The sequence below is a fragment of the Homo sapiens genome, chromosome 4 (genome assembly GCF_000001405.40).
Source record: "Homo sapiens chromosome 4, GRCh38.p14 Primary Assembly".
In the NCBI taxonomy this organism is placed as follows: domain Eukaryota; kingdom Metazoa; phylum Chordata; class Mammalia; order Primates; family Hominidae; genus Homo; species Homo sapiens.
The window spans coordinates 156,800,819-156,822,909 of record NC_000004.12 but is presented as its reverse complement, the minus strand read 5'-3'; the positions used below and the strand labels follow the sequence as shown (position 1 = coordinate 156,822,909).

General features: G+C 35.4%; 1 protein-coding gene across 7 annotated transcripts in view; it reads left to right on the top strand.

Annotated features, from left to right (window-relative positions):
- Positions 1–22,091, top strand: part of PDGFC (platelet derived growth factor C) — a 211,346-nt gene that overhangs the window by 148,890 nt on the left and 40,365 nt on the right. For all 7 annotated transcript variants that reach the window (NR_036641.2, NM_016205.3, XM_017008455.2 and 4 more), the window contains one exon: positions 11,893–12,073. Coding sequence is in view for 6 of the 7 variants with exons in the window: in NM_016205.3 (NP_057289.1) it covers positions 11,893–12,073 (181 nt within the window). In the remaining variant the exon portion in view is untranslated. The remainder of the gene's footprint in view (positions 1–11,892; positions 12,074–22,091) is intronic.

The following is a 22,091-nucleotide window of genomic DNA, read 5'->3' as shown; positions in this document are numbered from 1 at the left end:
TAATCCCAGCTACTCGGGAGGCTGAGGCAGGAGAATCGCTTGAACCTGGGAGGCGAAGGTTGCAAGGTTGCAGTGAGCCGAGATCGCACCATGGCACTCCAGCCTGGGTAACAGGAGCAAAACTCCATCTCAAAAAAATAAATAAATAAATAAAAGAGAATATGAGCTCTGAAGCTTAGAGTAAGGTTTCTGCTCCAGGTCTATTACCCTTACCTATATGAGTTTTCCCTTGTTACATAATCTCTGCATATGTCTAATGTGGGTATAATAACAGTAACCAGATGGGGCTGTGTTTGAAGACTGGATGAGTTGATATTTATGAAGTTTCTGGTTCATAATATGCATTACATGTTGATTTTTATGTTTATTATTGTATATGAATATTTTACAAGCCTTATTGTGATTTTGATAAAAATAAATTCATGCCTTTTTGTCATTCAGTAATATTGTATGTGCTTCCTCATACAGTAATATTGTATGTGCTTCCTCATACAGTATTCACACTTTATTGGTTAAATTTATTACTATGCACTTTTTTTTTTTTTTTTTTTTTGAGACAGTTTCACTCCGTCTCCCAGGCTGGAGTGCAGTGGCGCAATCTCGGCTCACTGCAAGCTCCGCCTCCCGGGTTCACGCCATTCTCCTGCCTCAGCCTCCCAGGTAGCTGGGACTACAGGCGCCCACCACCACGCCCGGCTAATTTTTTGTAATTTTAGTAGAGATGGGGTTTCACCGTGTTAGCCAGGATGGTCTCGATCTCCTGAACTCGTGATCTACCCGCCTTGGCCTCCCAAACTGCTGGGATTACAGGCCACTTTTTAAATTTCACTATGAAAGACATTTTTATCCCTGATATTCAGGTTTTGTTTTTCTCTGTCTTAAAGAAAAATTTTTGATATTTGTATATTGGTCCTAAATTCAGTCCCTTTACTGAATTCCCTTATTAGTTCCAGATAGATTATAAAAGCCAGCAGTTTTGGAATCATTTTTGACCCCTGTCATTCTCTCATACCCCACACTAAGTTCTGTCAAATCTACCTTAAAAGTATATCCACATTGGCAGCCAGGCACGGTGGCTCAAGCCTATAATCCCAGCACTTTGGGAGCCAAGGCAGGGGGATCAGTTGAGGCCGGGAGCTCAAGACCAGCCTGGCCAACATAGAGAAACCCCGTCTCTACTAAAAATACAAAAAATTAGCCAGGCCATGGTGGTGCACACCTGTAATCCCGGCTACGCCAGAGGCTGAGGAACCGGAATCGCTTGAAGCCAGGAGGCAGAGATTGCAGTGAGCCAAGATCATACCACTGCACTCCAGCCTGGGCTACAGAGCAAGACCCTGTCTCGAAAAGATAAAATAAAATAAATATACGTAGAGAGTGGTGGTTCACATCTGTAACCCCAGCATGTTGGGCGGCCGAGGTGGGAGTATCACTTGAGCCCAGGAGTTTGAAACCAGCCTGGGCAATATAGTGAGACCCTTATCTCTACAAAAAGTTAAAAAAAAAGAAAAAAAAATTCAGATGTGATGCCTCGCACCTGTAGTCCCAGCTGCTTGGGAGGCTGAGGTAGGAAGAATTGCTTAAGCCCAGGAGATCAAAGCTGCAGTGGGCTGTAATTGCACCACTGTACTCCAGCCTGTATGACAGAGTGAGACGGTTTCAAAAAAAATTGTATACTCACACTCTCTCACACACATTCACACACACACACACATACACACACACACACACACACACACATACAACAGGCAACATTCCTTGGGATGTCTCAACTTTCATACTATATATACTCCAAGCCATCTTGTCCCACTCCTGAATTATTGCCAGGCTCTTCTAGCCTCTGTGCTTACCCGACCACAATCTGTTCTCATGGGAATCTATTATTAACTAAGGATCGTTTGTTTCTTCTGTATCTATTACAACTTTTTATCTTATTCTGTTACTAAAACAGCTAGAGCCTTTTTCCAAAATATTGGAAACTAATGGTGAGAATGGCCAGCCCTATCCTTGTTCTAACTTTAATGAGAATTACCTTTAATTTGATCCAATATACTGCCTCTAGTTTCTGTTGAATAATGTTTTACCTTGATTTGAAATTTTATGCTATTCACAGTTTACCCAGTTTTTATCTAAGTTGTTGATTTTATTATATTGTTTCAGTGTTTATGAGTATGATCATATATTTTTTTTCTCCTCTTACTATTCTGAAGGGTCATTCTTAGTTCATCTTCATATTCATGAACTAAAGCCATACTCAGTCATAAAGTATTACAGGCGTACCTTGGAGATATTGTTGGTTAGGTACCAGATCACTGCAATAAAGCAAATATCACAATACAATCACGTGAATATTTTGGTTTCTCAGTACTTATAAAACTGAAGTTCACACAATACTGTAGTCTATTAAGTATGCAGTAGCATTATATCAGAAATTTGAGTTCTCATCTTTTTGCTCACATCCTGCCTCAATGTGGTGGCTGCTGACTGATCATGGTGGTGCTTATTGAAGGTTTGAGTGGCTGTGGCAGTTTATTAAAATAAGACAACAATGAACTTTGACATGTTGATTGATTCTTACTTCCATGAAATATTTCTCTGTAGCATTAAGTGCTATTTGCTAGCCTTTTACCCACAGTAGAACTTCTTTTGCAATTGTAGGTCAGTTCTCTCAGACCCTGCTGCTGCTCTATCAACTAAGTTTATGGAATATTATAAATCCCTTGTTGTCATTTCAACAGTGTTCATGGCATCTTCACCAGGAAAAATTTCAACCTTGAGAAACCATTTTGTTTGCCCATCCATAAGAAGCAACTCCTCATTCATTCAATGTTTATCATGAAATTGCAGCAATTCAGTTACCTGTTCAGGTTCCACTTCCAATTCTAGTTCTCTTGCTATTTCCACCACCTGTGCAGTTACTTCCTCCATCAAAGTCTTGAACCTGTCAGATTTATCCGTGAAGATTGGAACCAGTTTCTTCCAAACTCCTGTTAATGTTGATATGTTGACCTCCTCCCATGAATCATGAATATTGTTAATGGCATCAAGAATGGTGAATCCTTTCCAGAAGATTTTCAGTTTACTCTGCCCAGATTCACCAGAGGAATTACTATCCATGGCAGCTATTACCTTGTGAAATATGTTTCTTACATAATAAGACTTAAAACTCAGAATTACTCCTTGGCCCATGGACTGCAGAATAGATATTGAGTTAGCAGGCATGAAAACATAAATCTCCTTGTATGTAAATCTCCTTATACGTACATCTTCATCAGAGCTCTTGGGTGACCAGGTGGATTGCAAATGAGCAGTAATATTTTGAAAGAATCTTTTTTTCTGAGCAGTAGTACGTTTAAAATATTTAGTAAACCATGCTGTAAACAAATGTGCCATCATCCAGGCTTTGTTGTTCCATTGATACAGCATAGGCAGAGTAGACTGAGCATAATTCTTAAGAGCCCTAGCATTTTTGGAATGGTAAATGAGCATTAGCTTCAACGTAAAGTCACCAGATGCATTAGCCCCTAACAAGGGAGTCAGCCTGTCCTTTGAAACTTTGAAGCCAGGCATTGACTTTTCTTCTCTAGCTATCAAATTACTAGATGTCATCTTCTTCCAATAGAAGACTGTTTGATCTACACTGAAAATCTGGTGTTTTTTTTAGCATATCCACCTTTATCAATTATCTTAGTTGATCTTCTGGATAACCTGCTGCAGCTTCTCCATCAGTACTTGCTGCTTCACCTTGCACTTTTATGTTATGAAAATGGCTTCCTTCATTCAACCTCATGAAGCAACCTCTGTTAGCTTCCAACTTTTCTTCTGTAGCTTCCTTACCCTTCTTAACCTTCATAGAATTAAAGAGAGTTAGGACCTTGCTCTGGACTAGGCTTTGGCTTAGGAATGCTGTGGCACATTTTTTTAATTTGAGCAATTATTTCAAACTTTTTCATTATTATGTGGCAAGGTCCTCTCCCTCTCCTTGAGCCTCCTTATTCCCTGAGATACAAGAATATTGGAACAAGGCCAATTAACGCTAAAATGGCCTCTAAGAGTTCAAGTGAAAGAGTCACTGTCTCTCACTTTAAATCAAAAGCTAGAAAGAGTGGGCCAGGTGCGGTGGCTCAAGCCTGTAATCCCAGCACTTTGGGAGGCCCAGGCGGGCGGATCACGAGGTCAGGAGATCGAGACCATCCTGGCTAACACAGTGAAACCCCGTCTCTATTAAAAATACAAAAAATTAGCCTGGTAGTCCCAGCTACTCGGGAGGCTGAGGCAGGAGAATGGCGTGAACCCAGGAGGCGGAGCTTGCAGTGAGCCAAGATCGCGCCACTGCACTCCAGCCTGGGCGACAGAGCGAGACTCCGTCTCAAAAAAAAAAAAAAAAAAAAAACAGCTAGAAAGAATGACACTTAGTGAGGAAGGCATGTTGCACCAGTTAGACAAGTTGTGACTGCAAAAGAAAAGTAGTTGAAGGAAGTGATGAGCACAACTCCGGTGAAGACACTAAATGATATGAAGGCAAAACAGCTCCATTGCTGAGTTAACACAAAATGTGACCCAGGAACACAAAGTGAGCACATGCTGTCAGAAAAAAATGGTTCCAATAGACTTGCTTTTCACACAGGGTTGCCATAAATTTTCAATTGTAAAAAACGCGGTATCTGTGAAGAGCAAGAAAATGCATTGAGTGTATATCTTTTAATCAAATTATATTTGATTACAATTTACTTGGGAATTTTTGCATTTTATTCTATTTAAGAGTGAAATTAGCTTAATTTTTAGTATCTAGTATTGCCATTTCAAAGAACTTTGATACAAGATTTAGCCTAGAATTTTTTTTTTTTTTTAAGACGGAGTATTGCTCTTGTCTCCGAGGCTGAAGTGCGTTGGCGTGATCTTGGCTCACTGCAACCTCCACCTCCTGGGTTCAAGCAATTCTCCTGCCTCAGCCTCCTGAGTAGCTGGGATTACAGGCATCCGCCACCACGCCAGGCTAATTTTTGTACTTTTAGTAGAGATGGGGTTTCACCATGTAGGCCAGGCTGGTCTTGAACTCCTGACCTCAGGTGATCTGCCCACCTTGGCCTCCCAAAGTGCCGGGATTACAGGCATGAGCCACCACGCCCAGCCCTAGCCTAGCATTTTAAAATTTAATGGGGAGGATAGCTGCGCTGGTCAAATTAAAAATTGTTCATATAAAATTGGAATGATATGTTCTTTTAGAGTTAAATAGAACTCTCCTATGAAACTCCATGTTACTGCATCTTTTTTCTTAAAAGAGAGAGGGAGACAGGGTCTTTCCATGTTGCCCAAGCTAGTCATGCTCTCCTGACCTCCCAAGTAATCCTTGACAGTCCTTTTCATTTCTTCTAGAGTTATTAGTATCTTAACTTTTTCTACTTTTCCAGTAAATATTGATACTTTGCATTTTCTTAGTCATCCATTTTATCTAATTTTTCAGGTTTAATTAGCATAAAGTTACATAAAATATACTTATACTTTTAAAATATAGTCTTACTTGTGATTATATCTTCTTCCTCATTGCTAATTTTGTAAATTCTCGATTTATTCTCTCTCTAACCCCTTGTTGAGAATCAGCTTTTTGTTTTAATTCTGAATTTTAACTTTAATTTTGATTATATCTCTTACAGCTTTTGTCTTTATTAATTTTCACCTGATATTTTGTTTTGATTTGCTTAATTTTTCTAGCTTTGTAAGTTGACCTCATGGTTTATATATTTGTAGTTTTTTTTTAGTAATAACATGATTTTAAATGAGTAGTTTCTCACCACATAACATTTGTAAGCATTTCTCACAAGTAGAACTCTTCATGGTTTCATGAGAATTACCCATTCATGTGTTGTGAGTCCTGTGAAGCATGCCTATTGGTTTTACTTACACATTTCCAAGTAGGGTTAAAACTCTTCATAAAGAATTTAGAGTGGCTGTTAATAAATATTACCAAATTAATTAAAATAAATCTCTATAAAATTTATAGGCCTAAATTACCACATTGACTATTCAGTTTTATCTGTATGGCCCTAATATTTCTCCAGTCGCTGAAAAAGACCTTTTGGCCAATCTGAATAGAGATACAGAAATTCTCTGCAGTTAGGCCTTAAAATAAAGCAGATATAATTATATAGGCATATTTTAAATATAATAAGCAATGTGGCTTAGCACTTAAGAGCATGGGCTCTAAGGTTTGACTCGTGAGAATGAAGCCTTCGCTTTGCAGTTAGTTGCTGGTGTGACCTTGTTCAAGTTACTTATCTTTTCTATATTTTGTAACTAATAGACTGGATGGAGGAAAAGTGTTAATTTTTATGATTGTTGTGAGGATTAAATGAGTTACTATATAAAAAGTACCTAAGAAAAAACAGTGTCTGTCACATAGGAATCACTTAGTAAATGTAATTATTATTATTTTTTGAATTATTTTTATTATAATTTAAAGCATAGATAAACAATTTGCTGTTGAAGTGGTAATCTAATACTTCTATTTTTGTGTACCAGTTGCATTCTGCTAAACTAAAGCATAAGCCAATACACACTGTAGAATGTTTGTCATCTTCTTAATTTTATTACCTTTCTCAACAAGCTTAGACTCCAGTTGACATTTGCAGGGCTAGGCCTTTTTAAAATCCACATTCATTTGTTGGCAGGGTTTCTTTCACACTACTGACAGGTTTGATAATTCATAGGGTAGATTTAATTGACAGGGTTTTAGTTAGCATGAACTAGAAACAGCCTGTTTTGCAGGCTTGGTTTATTTTTGCTGAAAGAAGCTGAGTGTCTGACAATTATGTTTACTAATGAATTCATTTCTTTGGTATACTCCTTAAAATTCTCAGGAGTAAGAAAGACGTCCTCATGGCCTCACAGTTTTCTAATTCCCACATGAGAACGAAAATTTTGTCTACAACACCAGACTTGTTTGTTAAACATAAAAGAACGTAAATCCTCCACAGGTCCCCAGGGGTGTGTTAGAGAAAGGGAGTGATCATTATAAACCACTTAGCCCTGTATGCTCTGTATCATGTTGCCATGAGAAAGTGATGTTTGATTGGCTCATAAAATAGGTTTAGTAAATCCTTTAAATACTGACGTGGCCAATTGTGCACATTGGAAATTAATACCTGAGAGTGTATTATAAGGATTACCATGTCTCCAGAGCAGTCACCTGGGCATGTGTAGATTTCTGAATTTAAGGATGACTGTGTTTTGTGATTTCACTTTTATGTGTCAATATTGCTTAGTTTTATCATCCTCTTTTCATTTGGCTATGGCCCACAGATACATTTTTCATCATTGTTTTCTCTCTTCATTCTCTTCTTGATGTTTGGGCTATGTTAGCATATATCAGCCAACCAACCTTTGCTGTGAATCCCATATTCTGCAAATGGTGTTGTGTCAGAAAATAAGAAAAATATCAAGTTGTTAAAGCAGACGACCTGATTTAATGCATTATTCTTTTTCTATCCTCACTATGCATTCCCAAACCAGTTGAAAGGAAATATGGAATGAAGTGACAACGGGGTGTGTGTGTGTGTGTGTGTGTGTGTGTGTGTGTGTGTGTGTGTAAAAAATTATTTCATTAATAACTTTAAATTCCATAGATGTCTTAATAGTTATTGTGTGTGACGATAAAAATTAATGGTAGAATAATTGCATGAATTTGGAATTATATATTTTTGTATGACACGAGTTCTGAGAAAATCTTGAAATGCCTAATTTATTATGAAACTATTAGTAGCATATGCTAAGTTCTACTGTTTTATAGACAACACAGTACCTTATTAGATGTTTGTTTCACTTAAACTTTATGGAGAACAAAACTATATAGATTTTTCAAAGCACTGTCATAAATATATGCACTAGACTTGCATGAGCATGTAAGAATTAGTTGCCAGCTGTCTCGCTGCAAATCCAGAAATTTTCATAAGGATTATTTTCCAAATGGCATCAAATTCAGTTGGAAATCTTCATGAAATAAGTAATAATATGCTCATCACCCTTCTCCTATTTACAGGACAGTGGATTTTGTATCGACATAAATCAGAGAAGGCAAAAGTTAAGATATTTTTGTTTCTTAATAAAGTGTTAACATTTTAATCTAGATATTTTTGTGTCGTTAAAGCCCTTTTTAAAATACTTTTAAAGAAGTTACAGATCATATAACATATGAGGTAGTTTATTTTTAAACAGAAATAAAAAGAAAATAATATATAGTAAAGTAGCTATTTGAGTTGTTAATTTTAGACTTCCTGAAGAGAATATTCTTTTCTCTTTAGGATGCTTTTTTTATTAGGAAGATTAAAATGGTTATTTTGAAAAATGGTCTCAAGAAAATTTTGTACACAATGTGTTCTGCTGAAGCAGTGTATTGAAATGACTTCATCCTGGCCAAATCCAATGATACTTTTTAGTTTTCACCTCTTTGATCTTTCTTTGGCACTTGGCATTATTGACCACTCCTGCTTCAGGTGAAATTCTCTCTTCTCTGTTACCTTAACGTCTGCACCTTCCCTCACAGTGGCTTCCCTCTTATTTCCCTGACTGCTCCTTCTCAGGATGCTTTTGTTAAAGGATCTTTTCTATTGACCCACACTTGAAATGTTACTGTTTCCTCGAATTCCTCGAACATGTGGTGATTACCTGTCTGTGTTACTCCCCTCTATGAAGCCTCCAGCGGCTCTGCCTCTTAAGTGCAAGGGTGGCCAACTCAGATGCCAAAGAGCAAATATAAGTAAATGAAGATAATCTGGATTTTTTTTTTAAATCATAGAAAGTAGATAGAGATTTTTAAAAACTAGAAAGAGCATGCCTCATGTGAAGCATTTTTCATTTAGTCCCAGCCTCAGTTGCTATGAAGGCCAAGTATTCATTCCTTCACTCACCAAATACTGACACAGCGTTTACTATGTGCCTGGGGTGTAGGTGCTCAGGATAAGACAGTAAAGTAAGCAAAGATATCTCCTTTGCTGGAGCTGACACGAATTCTGGAGATGAGCCCTCGTGGAGTCACCCAAAGCTAATGATATTTATTATTACCAGATCTTCAATTTTTTAAAAGCCGAACATCCAGGTTTTCTATGAAATTCCATTTTTTAAAACGTTGACAAATTTTTTAAAGAGACATCGAGCCCATTGGAATGTGCCTACATGTTTTCAACATTGGCCTACCAAATAATCCAATGTCTTATTACCATGCAATACCAAGACCTCACCTGCATCTATTTGTCCACCATGATCTCCATCTGATTTTTGTTTCCCACCCTCAGTTCACAATGGACCATGCTTAGCGCTTTCTTTCTTCTTTACATCTTATGTATTGTACTTCTTGCTAGAATGCATTTTCATCCCCCACCCCTTTCACCCCTTGTCAGTCAATACTCTGAAAGCCCAAGTGTCAAGTCCTTTGTAAGCTGACCTTCATCTCACTGTATAAAATTACACTCTTTCTTCTACTATTCCACAGTATTTCTTACATACTCTAATTAGAGCACTTACCAATGTGTTTTATGGACCCAGAACCCAAAAAAAGCTTTAGTTATGTGTTTGTATCCTGAGAATCTAGCAGAGCAGTTTGCGCCAAATCAGTGTTTCATAAATCCCTGTCGAATGAGTGGTGGTAACCTGCATCACACAGGCTCACCTCCCAAGCACAGAACAAACAGATCCTTATGAATAGAAACTTTGTTTCATGTGTAGACAACCCTGATGTAAAAATTACCATTCGATAAAAATGATGATTATCAACGTTTCTGCCAAATAGATCTGAAATATCTACTTAGGTCTGCTATACCCACCATCCCCGAACCACACACATACACTGCCTAACCCTTCCACATCCCGCACACACATACACTAAAACTCCTGGAATGGTTATACTGGCTGGCTTATGTATATGTAACTTATAACCCTGGACTTCTCATGTGATATAGCAAAATCATATCTCCTCTTTGTCTTTGTGTTTTCTTATTTACTGCTTTTAAGCTTCCAAGGTTATGTTAAAAAGTAGGTGTGCAGAGGTTGGAGGGGTGCAGGACAGAGATGGGAGACAAACTTTCTTGAGTGGCAGCTCTGTGCAAACAATGTTTTAGGTGCTGCACATGTGCTGTCCCATTTTTCCTTTCTTCAAATGTCTCTGAGTTAGGTAGCATTATTCCCAGTTTACCAGTGAGGAAAATGAAGCTGAAGTAGTTTAAGTTCCATGCCTTAAGAGAGTTTTGGATACTTCAGATTTATAAGTATAATTGTTTCATTATACACTTTGTCTTTTTTCAGCAACTTTTTCTTTCATATGTTTAATGTTACGTAAAATGTAGTATTTTTGGTAGTCTGGTATCTACTGAATTTAAAATTTTGAAAAAAATCTATCAGTGGTTTACAACCATGTCAGACTTCGTTTTAACAAAAGTTTTGCAATGCCCTGCTTAGTATTCTGAAATGCAATTCATAGAAGCAGTTATCTGTTTACATGTGAAATTGTTTTAAAAATAAATATATTGTCTGCATGTTATATAAATCTATTAAAATAGCAAAGTAATTTATATTAAAATAATCTGTTTCAATATATAAATGAACAGTAACAATTACCCTAGAAAAATAAAGGGAAAATGTTAGCATCTTTTAAGTCGACTCATTGCGAATGTAACAGCTATAAATATAGACTAATAAGAATATGTTTGTTTTAGTTGGGATGAAAATGGTATATCTAGTATTCCTGTTAGTGACATGTTTTTCCAAGTGAGTAACTCTTGGTTAAGTTTAAAACAAAACACAGAAAATTCCCTCAATTTACTCTATAGTTGACGTTATTTAAAATTTATCTTAACTAAAACAGTGCAAAACATATATGCGTTTATACATGAGATGATGTAAGATGATGTTTATAGTTAGATGAACTGTAGTAGAATTTGCACCTGCATGAAATGTCCAGTGAAATATTTGAAAGGCATGGAGGACATGGGGCAAATACTCATTTTCAGAACTTTCCATTGTTGGGCATTCGTGGACCTTGCCTGCTACATTTCAATCACTCCCTTCTCACCCCCAATTATTGAGACAACCTAAAATGTTCCCACAGATTTGTGAAACAGTCTGTCATGGGGCAATAATGGTCTCAGTGAACACCACTGATCCAAACCTTCCAAACCAAAAGTTGACATGTGTTTAAAACAATCATTTATTCCTCTGTTTAAGATACTGTGTATAGTGAAATGTAAAATAGAAATATGTACGAACTGGTTCCTTTCTTCAAGGATTAACAGCCTAAGAAGATGGATCACTTATACACATATATGGTTAGTTAGAAATATGTGTTTATCAAAACGAGAAAGATGACAGTGAGCTGAGAACACCCAGGAAGGTCACAGAAAGGAAGAACAGTACCAAGTGAAGTGCGAAAGATGCGTATACAATGAAGTGACTCTAGGAAAGCTTGCATCACAGATGAGGAAAGAGCCAAGGCCCCTGGCCAGGATGAAAGAGTTACTCTCAGAAAATAAAGGGCAGTAATAATAGGAATTAAGAGTGGAGTCACACTGTCATGTCCAAATGAAAATTATATTCAATAATTCATGAATCGAATGTCAGATAGGGTTGCTCCTTACAAAATGTTTAAGTTTTAGGATGGTTATTTAATGAATTTGGAATTCGTAAACAGAAAAACTAAGGACTCCAAAGAGACTCATAGTTCTTCAACTGGGCCCTCATTTTCAGTTGTGTCTCTTCTTTAGAATTCTTAATTATATGTTCCCGGTTAAATTTTGGATTAACTCACTGCTGTGGTCCGTAGAGTCATAGCACCCACAGACATGAAACTTGTAATTGCCAGAATAACAGATTATGAAATGATGTCTCTTTCCCTTTGTCTTTTTGCAGGTATGATTTTGTAGAAGTTGAGGAACCCAGTGATGGAACTATATTAGGGCGCTGGTGTGGTTCTGGTACTGTACCAGGAAAACAGATTTCTAAAGGAAATCAAATTAGGATAAGATTTGTATCTGATGAATATTTTCCTTCTGAACCAGGGTTCTGCATCCACTACAACATTGTCATGCCAGTAAGTACCACTTTCAGATCCCCTTATTTAATTGGATCAGCTTTTTGTTTCTTTTTATTTTTCTCCTCTTACACATGAGAATCAGAAAAAAAATCAGAAAACAAACCTAGCTGGGATTTCATTTTTATGTAAATAAAAACTCTTACATGCCAAGCCAGCAATTCATTAGGCAAATTAGAAAATATGAAATCAGTATTTACCATTTTATATCATATTCATGTGTATTGTTAAGCAGAAATTTCCCTGTTTGATTGCTCAGGAGTCTATGAAATATTATCTAGACAACTGATTAAATAAAGGAAATTTAAGTATTGGTTAAGGGTATAGCTAAAAAGAAGCAATACAATGCAAACTGAATTTTGAAAATGACAATTTATTCATTTAGTAATAATAGAATCATTTATCATGTATGATTGAAGTTAAAGGAGAAATCTCTGAAGTATGTTATAAATGTTATAAATTGTGTATGTTATAAATTGTGAATTTTGATCAGTTTTATTATGTAGCTTATTTAAGATATCCCAAACTCTACTCCATTCTGAAATACTTTTTGCCAGTATATATTCTGTTCCATTTTCTTTGTTCCTTTCCAAAACTTTTTAAAGTTTAATATAATACTTTAATATTTTTAAATTTATTTAATAAAATGTAACAATTCTACCTGTAAATGAAAAATGTTAATGATAGACAAAGATGTACATTTTTATTAATAGGCAATAGTTTAATACTGATTATTTGCTTGATTAAAGCCACTAAGAATCTGTTTAGTATACTTTTACAGTATCTTGTTTCACAGAACTTAGTGAGTTTAATATTTTTTAGGCTAGGGTGGCGTTGAGGGCCATGGATACACTTTCACAAAGTGAAATATTTCTCAAATATTTAAATATGGGATATATTAATTGTAGTAAAAAACATACTAGCAGGTCTTTGTGAGAGCAAAGGTTTTATTCATCCCAAACATGTGACAAAATAAACTTTAAATTAAGGATATTATTTATATTTTAAATGAACTTCTGTCTATATTATATTAATTTAAATGTGTATAAATAGCAATCTACTGTCCTCCTATAGAATAAAACACAAAAGCTAACGTATAAATATCACTACTGAAGGTTTTTTTTTCTGATTTTGTGACTACATAGATTATCTGGTTGTATAACCCAAGGAGTTATATGGATTAAATCAAATATGTAATGATAAAAGCATACTATATGTATGTATTACACATATACATAGTAGACATAGTATATGTATGGTATTTATAGCAGCTAGCTCAGTTCTGAGCACATAATAGTCTCTCAATAAATACTTGAATGCTGAGTTGATCATGCAATTCAGTCACCCAGCTTAACTAATACAGGATTCACTGTATATGTGTGAAAGTTGTCAGATTCATAAGACTTGTGATGAAGTAAGAACCCAAAGGTTGATTGAAAGTGCCATCCATCCTCTTGGCTAAGAAAAGTCCTGTCACCAGGGTTGACCTATTATCAGAGATTTACTGTGACTGAGACCAGACACCACATCTGGGAGACTTTAGGCCAAATGTATGTCATTGGTTCCATTATTGAAATTAAATTGACCACATTTTTAAATGATTGTTTAATCATTTAACAATGATTGGTAAATTGTCAATATGGACTTCAATGGGCTATTGTCAACTCTCCTGGACTCTATTGAGCCAGGCTTTGTGTGGCAACTACATTGACCTATTCTGGGCTGTAGATAATGGAGACATGTGGGGAGTAAAGGCATAGGAGTTCTTGTAATTAAACTATGTTTAGGAAAACAATAGGCTTTTGGACTGGAAGAAACAGGAGAGAATGAAGGTAGTGTCCTACATTGCCTAATAAGTGTAAGTTGGTGATTTTCATTTTTAAGATTGCTTTCTGGAGAAATTATATGAATTTTACAATCTCACAAGCTTTGTTTTTTCTGTGTTTAAATTTACGTTGACAATTAACCTGCCATTTCTTCAGCCGTCCTTTGTCTTGGTTCCATATATCCATTCATCTCTCTACTTACAGCCACATTCATTCTACTCTTAATAAACTGTCTGCAGAAGGGTGAGATCTGATGAGTTAGAATTTGACAAGTGGTTATGCTGTTAAGCCTTGCAGAATGTTTTGAATTATCATTGTGTACTCCTAAATTACACCCCTCCCTCCATGCACCCCCTCCACCCCCCACACTTTGCTAACAGGGTGCAATCCATCAATCTTATCTGTGTAACAGATTAATGAAAGCCTAAAGCAAGAAAGTGTGCCTCCTGGACAGCAGACTTAAAAGTTCTTGAGGCCTTTGCTCAGGGGCAAGGGTCCCTCCAAGCCCCTGGATCATCTCTGATGCTTTTATTTTTCTCTTTTTGCTCTGGATGAACTTCATGTCAGCACACTCTGTTCCCCAGAGGCAACGGTCTCATTGATTAGAAACCTACCTCTGCAAAATTCCACTTTAGATTCCACTGGCCACAATGATTTCTTTGTAATAGTAAAAATAATATTAACTACTAGTTTATAGTAGACAATTAACTTTCTGCATTGAGGTTTGTCAGGAGTGCCTAGCACAATGCCATTCACATTGTAGCTGCTCATTAAGATTTCATAGAAATTCAGCCATTTCATCTTAGAGTTGTCCAAAACCCACAGGGAGCTATACTACCTTCCTATTTATTATATGTCACCTTTGTTCCTCTCACACAACAGAGATAATTCATAAACCGGAACGCAGTAGACTCACAGGAATGACACCAGATATTCTGCTGTCCTAATATATTACGCTATATTACCAAAGACACATTCTTGCATTAGCTAAATAATTGCCCTGGTTTTCTTTTTAGGGGAGGCAGTGAGGAGTGGGAATTAGTGGGACATCCACTGAAGTTAAAGAATTGAGTGCATACTAATGATTTTATAAACATTAGTATATACAGTTAACATTATCTACTTTTCATAATCAACCCAATGAATATTTTGCATGCATTACTATACAGAAAAAATTTTAAGTGAGTTTAATCACATTTTTTTCTAGGACAAATTATGGGTTAAGTTTATTTTAAAATTCTTTATATTTCACAGGTAAAGAGATAACCCTGTAGCCTTCTTTGGGACTATAAATGGATATCGGGTTCTGGTCAACAGTTAAGACTCCTTGGTTCTGATTACCATGTGTCTTAGAGGCAGAGTTTTAATACATTAGTTAAAATTTTCAGAAACAGTTTTTGCCACACAAGTTGCCATTAAAAATTATGTTCTCCCTTGTAAGATGATTTACCCACTCTTTTTTTCCTCAGTTTATGAATAACAGAGCATATAGTTAAATAAGAGATGACTTGTTCATTTGAATAAAGTGATGCTGTTCTAATATTTAAAGATTTTACATATTTATTATAAATATCAGTACTTTCCTTTACAATATTGGGATTTCCATATCATTTTCTTGATTCACAGGTACCTTACAATAAGACATAATTAAAATTTCTCTCTCCATTTTTTCATTTGGTGTTATAAACTAAACCTAGTTTTAGAAATAACTTTAGCATATGTTATTTACTTGAGGTTATAGCTAGTTATAGCTTTTTAAAACAGTAGTACTAGAATTGCTACATAATTTTAAAATTACAGCATTTCAATGATATTTTAGAGAATTATTTATAGAAATATTATTCTCCAGTCATGCTCCATTAATAACTAATAAAAAATAAATTTCTGCAAATTGATGCCAAATGATACATACAGTGTTCAACTTTTATGATTGTGCCTAAGGAGTTAATGTCTTTGATTTTTTTCCCTTTCTGCTAAAAGAGAAAAAAAAAAAAGACCTGGTAGATTAGCAGTGAGAGATTGTTTGGGAAGAAATGAAGCAAAACTGAAATAAAACAGTGCAAGCTTGTTTCTGTTTGGAGGCCACACACGGTGAGAGCCCAGAACACATTTCAGATCTTTTAGAAAGAAAGGAAAATTTCTTGTTTAATTTTGGAGTAATTTATAATAGATTATATATGTTTTACTCTGTGTACTGTAGCATAAGCACCATTATTTAAAATGATAAGAAACCTAAAAAGGCTGAAATAATAACTTTTGCTCCAGAATCAAAAGACTTTATTAAAAGTTTTATTTCTCAGTTCTAAAAGTAAAAAGTACTGCATATTTTTTGGTCAGAAAACTGCTTCAATTAAACCATACCTATTTTTAAGTAAAATATACAAATCTAAATCTGAATTTTTAAAGTTATTTTAGTCTTATATTTAGAACTATTCTTCTTGAGTACAGTGCTATTTGTTGTTTTTTTAATGTCTGTGAGATTTGAAGATTTTCTTATTCTCCCTCCAATTTGGTTAACATTATGAAAAATGATTACCACTGATTTTTCTTAAATGGTTTTAATGAATATTATATTTTTCAGTCTCTTAGTCTAAGGTTTCTGATCCAAAGTAATGATAATGTTTACAATAATTTATTTACTTTTTTCCATTTAATGAGTATATCAGTTTATATTAAGAGAATTAGAAGTTATAGCCACCATACAAATTGAGTCAATGTATATTTACCCTCTTTTTCTTTGCCTGATAAGCTGGGCAGGGGGTGGATGAACTGAAGAGTACTTTAACTCACAACACTTCAGTGAACTTCATCTTCCTTTAAGTTGCCGCCTGATTTGTTCTATCACTTCTATGATTTTACATTTTAAAAAACTATGTATAATCAGTGATACTTGTTTGAATATACAAGTGAATCTTGTTTATTCTTGTTATTAAATTATATACAAAGATTAATAATATAGTATAGTATGTAAGTATTATAGCCACATTATAACCCCCACTGTGTGTTTTTCTTAATGGTGATTTTGTAAATGACTTATCCAGAGTTCAGACGGCGTACTGGCCAGCATGCCCTGTGGAAGGGTGTAGGGTTTCTGTGGGGAGGGGTTAGAAGGACACTTGATGCCTGAGGTGCTATTAAGGAATGCATGACTGATTGCCAAAGTGGTTATTAATTATGCAGGATATGGTGAACAAAGCAGCACAGTGAATATTGAAGTGAGAGGGGGAAAAGAGGAGGGAGGATATTTTTTTTCATCCCTTCTGACATATGCCAGTAGGTTATTTCACTGTTAATATCATGTCAAGAAAAGTCTTAACTGAAAGCCAAATTTGCTTTTATGTTCAGGTTAAGAAAAACTCCAACCAACTCTCAAACAAGGCTTCAAATATATTAATTCACTTTCTTTCCTAGGAAAAAAAGCAGCATGCCTGGAATAAAAATACTTAGAGCAATATAATAACACCAATCCTACAGGAAAAACATTAGTGGTGGGATGTACTCAAGATTTTTTAAAATGTTAAATTTTCATAACTTATTGCATTGCATTCCCCTATTGTTAAACCAATTCTAATAAGTCGACATTTATTTGAAAACTTACTTAAAAATAGATTTGTATTTACCTCGAGAATTAAGAGAAAATTTGATGCTTAGAATTTTTTTGTATTTAGAGACTGGAAGAGGTATTTCAAGTACTATTTATCTACACTGTAGTCTGAAGCACTTGTTGAATGATTAGATTTTTATTAAAATATACAATATACTTGTATATTTATGCAAGGAGTCTTGAGATGACAGTATTTTATTGCAGCTAGGAAATTATATAATTGCTATAGAGACTAAACTCTTACTTGGCTAAGAATTGCTTAATATATTTTTCAATTCCACTTCTCCATGGGCACAATGCTCTCTTTCATATGACGATCATGGTGTCTCTGTTTCATTTCTACTGATTCCTTTTGTTCCAATTAATTTCTTGCTAAGAAAAAATTTCACAGATGCTATGATTTGTAGTTAGAAAGAAAAACGCAATTAGCACTATGTAGGAATGGTAAATGGCAGACAGATTATTGTAAGTCATTTTATAAGAGTGTTGTAAATAAAATCGTAGATTAATTGAAACCTTGAGGTTTGATTGATTCATATTTTATAGCTAAAGCCACAAAGATTTAAAAGCTTGGAGTTAAAATGGCAACCTCACAACTCTTTCCATCTAAACCTGATGGAAGGAGTTGTTTTCTAGAAATAAATATGGTGCAAGTTAAAATTATAAATTAAATAGTTTTTCTTCAATATTCCTACCCATTCAATACCCTAAATCCCTTAATTATCAGATATTTGTTGAGAAGATTCAAAGATGTATATAATATCTCCCTTGGTCTCTGATAACTTATCTCGTTTTGGAGGAAAAAAATACCTATAAAAATGCAGTATGTGAGTGTCATGTTGAGTGGTTTGGAAAGATTTTGAGAAGGAAGATGGGAATGTGGAGAGCAGAGGGATGTCATAACCCTTAGATTAAAGAAAAAAATCAATAAGCAATCAAACAAAAAGTCCAGGAGCTATTCAGTATAAATTTTTTCTCAAATGTGTTATAAAAATCTCTCAAGAGCATATTAAAAATGCTTGTTACCAGATTAGTCAGAGATCCTCATTTTCTTGGTCTGGGGTGATACTCAATTATCTGTGTTTTCATCAGATATGCTTGGAGATTCAGTTGCTCTAAACTATAGTTTGATCAGAATACGATTACTTTTTTTTAACTTGCCAACATTAGCAGTTATTTATTTATTTGTTTATTTATTTATTTTTACAATTACTTTTATTTCAAGATTTTGGTGAATTTTTTTATATTCAAACAAATGAATTTTATATGAATAGATTAGAAACTCTGCACACATGTTTAATACATGTGTATTTTTCAGGGTTACAAAAAGAGTGGGACTTTCCCATAAAATTAGGTAGATATCTTTCAGTTTCTAGCACTTGTATTTATTGTACCAACTCTTCCAAGCATTATATTAAAGACTATCAATTTTGTCAACGGTCAGTGTCTGTTACCCACAGAACTATGAAAGATTGTCCTCTGCTGCCTTTTCTGTTCAACACTAAACTTGTTTGGTAATTCACAGATGACATAGTTCCAGCATTGAAGCACAGTTCTGGAATAGATATTCATTCATTCTACAATGTTAGATACTGTTAGTAAAATAAGACATTTCCAGTTGTCAAGAAATATTCTTTCATTTTCTATATACATTTTTTACATTTAATTTTAATTTTGTCAGTTAATTTTGCACCTGTTTCTAAATGGCAAATATTTCTCTTACATTTGTTACAAAAATAGCAGTTCATACCACTTTCCCCTTCCTAAATGATTTTTCTGCCCTTTGTAGGCAGGCACTTCCAATTTTTTGAAATAACTCTTTTGAATTTACCTCTACGACTCTATTTAACATGCTTTTATATCTACTTCTTCACTCTTTTACAAATTACCTATCGATTTCTCACTGGAAGATAAAGCCATCTTTCACTTTCTGTCACCCTCCTGCCTTTACCACACATACAGATATTTCCCAGCACCCCATCCTCTATTATATCTTGATTATATCAAATCCAAATTCATTGTGTACATTATGGTGGCTCTGTAGTCATTTTTCACAGCTGAGCCTTGAACTATATACCATGACTACATTTCCGTTTCTGTTCTTTTTATGTTTCCCTTAGAATTATTTTTTGGCTTGTTTAGCTTTTATATTCATCACTGATTCATCCTGAAACTGTTCCTCAGATTGTGTAAATCTCCTCTCAGTACACTCAGACACATTTGGTTTTCTAATAATTTCATCTTCTTCAAGAAATCTTTGCTGCAATCATCTGGCCTGCTCCAATGTGGACTGCTTGCCCTTTAGAATGGCTGCACAAACCGTCATCCTTGCAGTCTCCTTCTGCCATCATCCTGAGTATTCCTTTTGACGTTTTCTTGCATTAGATCCTCTGTTTGCTGGATCTTTTGTCTTCCTGTGTCTCAATTTACTTCCTTGTTTGCGAAGAGAGTAAAACTTCCATGAATATACTGAGAAAATGGAGCATCAGAGATAAAATTTTTGCAGCCTTGCATAACTTAAAATGCTCTAAGTATTAACCCTCAAACTTAAATGAATTCTGATTAAGTCTAGAATTTAAGCTGGCCACTTAAAAGTTGATTGGACATTCTGTGCCTGTGGATGGGCTTGCCCACTATTGTCTTCACTGTACTGCGTGCTGGCTTAGTCAGTTTCTTCAAAACACTCTGATTCCTCTCATCTCTTTTCTAAGAGTATAAATACTGGTTACCAATGTTCTGAACTAGGAGCTGAGTTGATTAACACTGAGATATTTGGCATTGTATATATCTAATATATATGTTTTGTGTATGTAAAATGTATATGTGTGTGTGTGTGTGTGTGTGTGTGTGTATGTGTGTGTATGTTTCTACTCTACCTTCTCCATACCCTCAACTCTGCTTGGGTTTTCCACAGAACGAATCTGAACTGTCTTCTGCCAAGAGGAAAGCAGATTTGGGGTATCTGGCAATTTCATTAACAGATTTTTAGTCATTCTTTTATTGTTCCTTTATGTATATTTAATTGCTTCTTGTCTATGCCCCTGCCAAATTTTGCAAAGCCCACCAATCCAATGACGACACATCCAACTCCTTTTTAGTTTTCAGAATTTTATTGCTGTTGACTCCTTTCTGACTTTCTTTGGCCTTAAGGGTGTAAGCCAAAAAGTATGTGAGACTGATCTCAATCAATTTAGAAGTTTATGTTGCCAAAGTTAACGATATACCCAGAAGAAAACAACACAGAATCATCAAAACAGTCTGTGGCCCATGCCTTTCTCCAACGATGAATTTGAGGGCTTCAGTATTTAAAGGGGAAAGGTGGGCTAGAGGGGAAAGAGGGAGTATATAGTAACCACATGTTGCAAGAAAAAAGGGGCAGGTAGGAAAATAGACAATTATGTATTTGTCTCGGGCTCACTAATTTGGCTTTTTGTGTAACATAAGGTGAACATAGAGTAGCTAGCTACCTGTGAAGATATTTAACCTTTTATCTGTCGCTGTCTACTTAGGAACAAAAGGAAAAGCAGTGTCTTGTATGACTGAGGTTTCAGCTTAATTTTTTGCTTTTAGCATAATGAATTGGGGTTCTGAGTTTTTATTTTCCTTTCACAAGTGATTATGCATTTTACAGACACCTTTAGAATTAATAATTTCAGGAGAGAACAGAGCCACAATTACCATTTTTGCATTCTTTCTTTATTAGTGGAATTCATATATTGATGTGCATATTAAAGATTGACTTTATATTTGATTAATAAAATATTCAAAACACTGCAGAAGTATATTAAGGACATAGTATGTGCCAAGTGCCATGCTCTATAAATGGCTTCCAAGGAAGAACTCTCCATTTCCCTCCCATGCCAGATAAAATAACCCCTAGTAGGAGACGCTTTGCATGATTATCCTAATATTGTGTTTACTTTTTATATGCAAGAAAGGCATATGTAGAGGTTGGTACTGTCACCCTCCAGGGGGCTCTTTTTGTCAAGTGCCCAGATACAGCTGATTTATCAAGACAGGGGAATTGCAATGGAGATAGAGTTTAATGCACATAGAGCCAGCTAAACAGGAGGCTGGAGCTTTATTATTACTCAAATCAGCCTCCCCAAAATTCAGAGGCTAGGGTTTTTCAAGGATAGTTTGGCAGGCAAGGGAATGGGTGCTGCTGACTGGCTATGGATGCAGTCATAGGGGCATGGAAATCGGTCCTTTTACCCTGACTCTGCTTCTGGGTGGGGGCCACAGGACCTGTTAAGAGTCTGAGTGGAGCTATTGGTCATCAGAAATGCAAACGTCTGGAAGGACATCCAAAAGACCAATCTTAAGTTCTACAATAGTGATGCTATCTGCAAGAGTAACTGGGGAAGTTGCAAATATTTTGACCTTGGGAATAATGGCTCATAATCCTTTACTTCTACACCTTAACAAAGTTCAGGCTTCTCTCATCCTCCTAACCTCATAGTGTTTCATTCATTTTACAGTGACAGTTGAGTTTGGGGAAAGGTGTATTAAAACTTAAGCTGTAAACTAAATTTCTCCCAAAGTTAGCTTTGTCTAGGAATGACTAAGGGCAGTTTGGAAGTTAAAG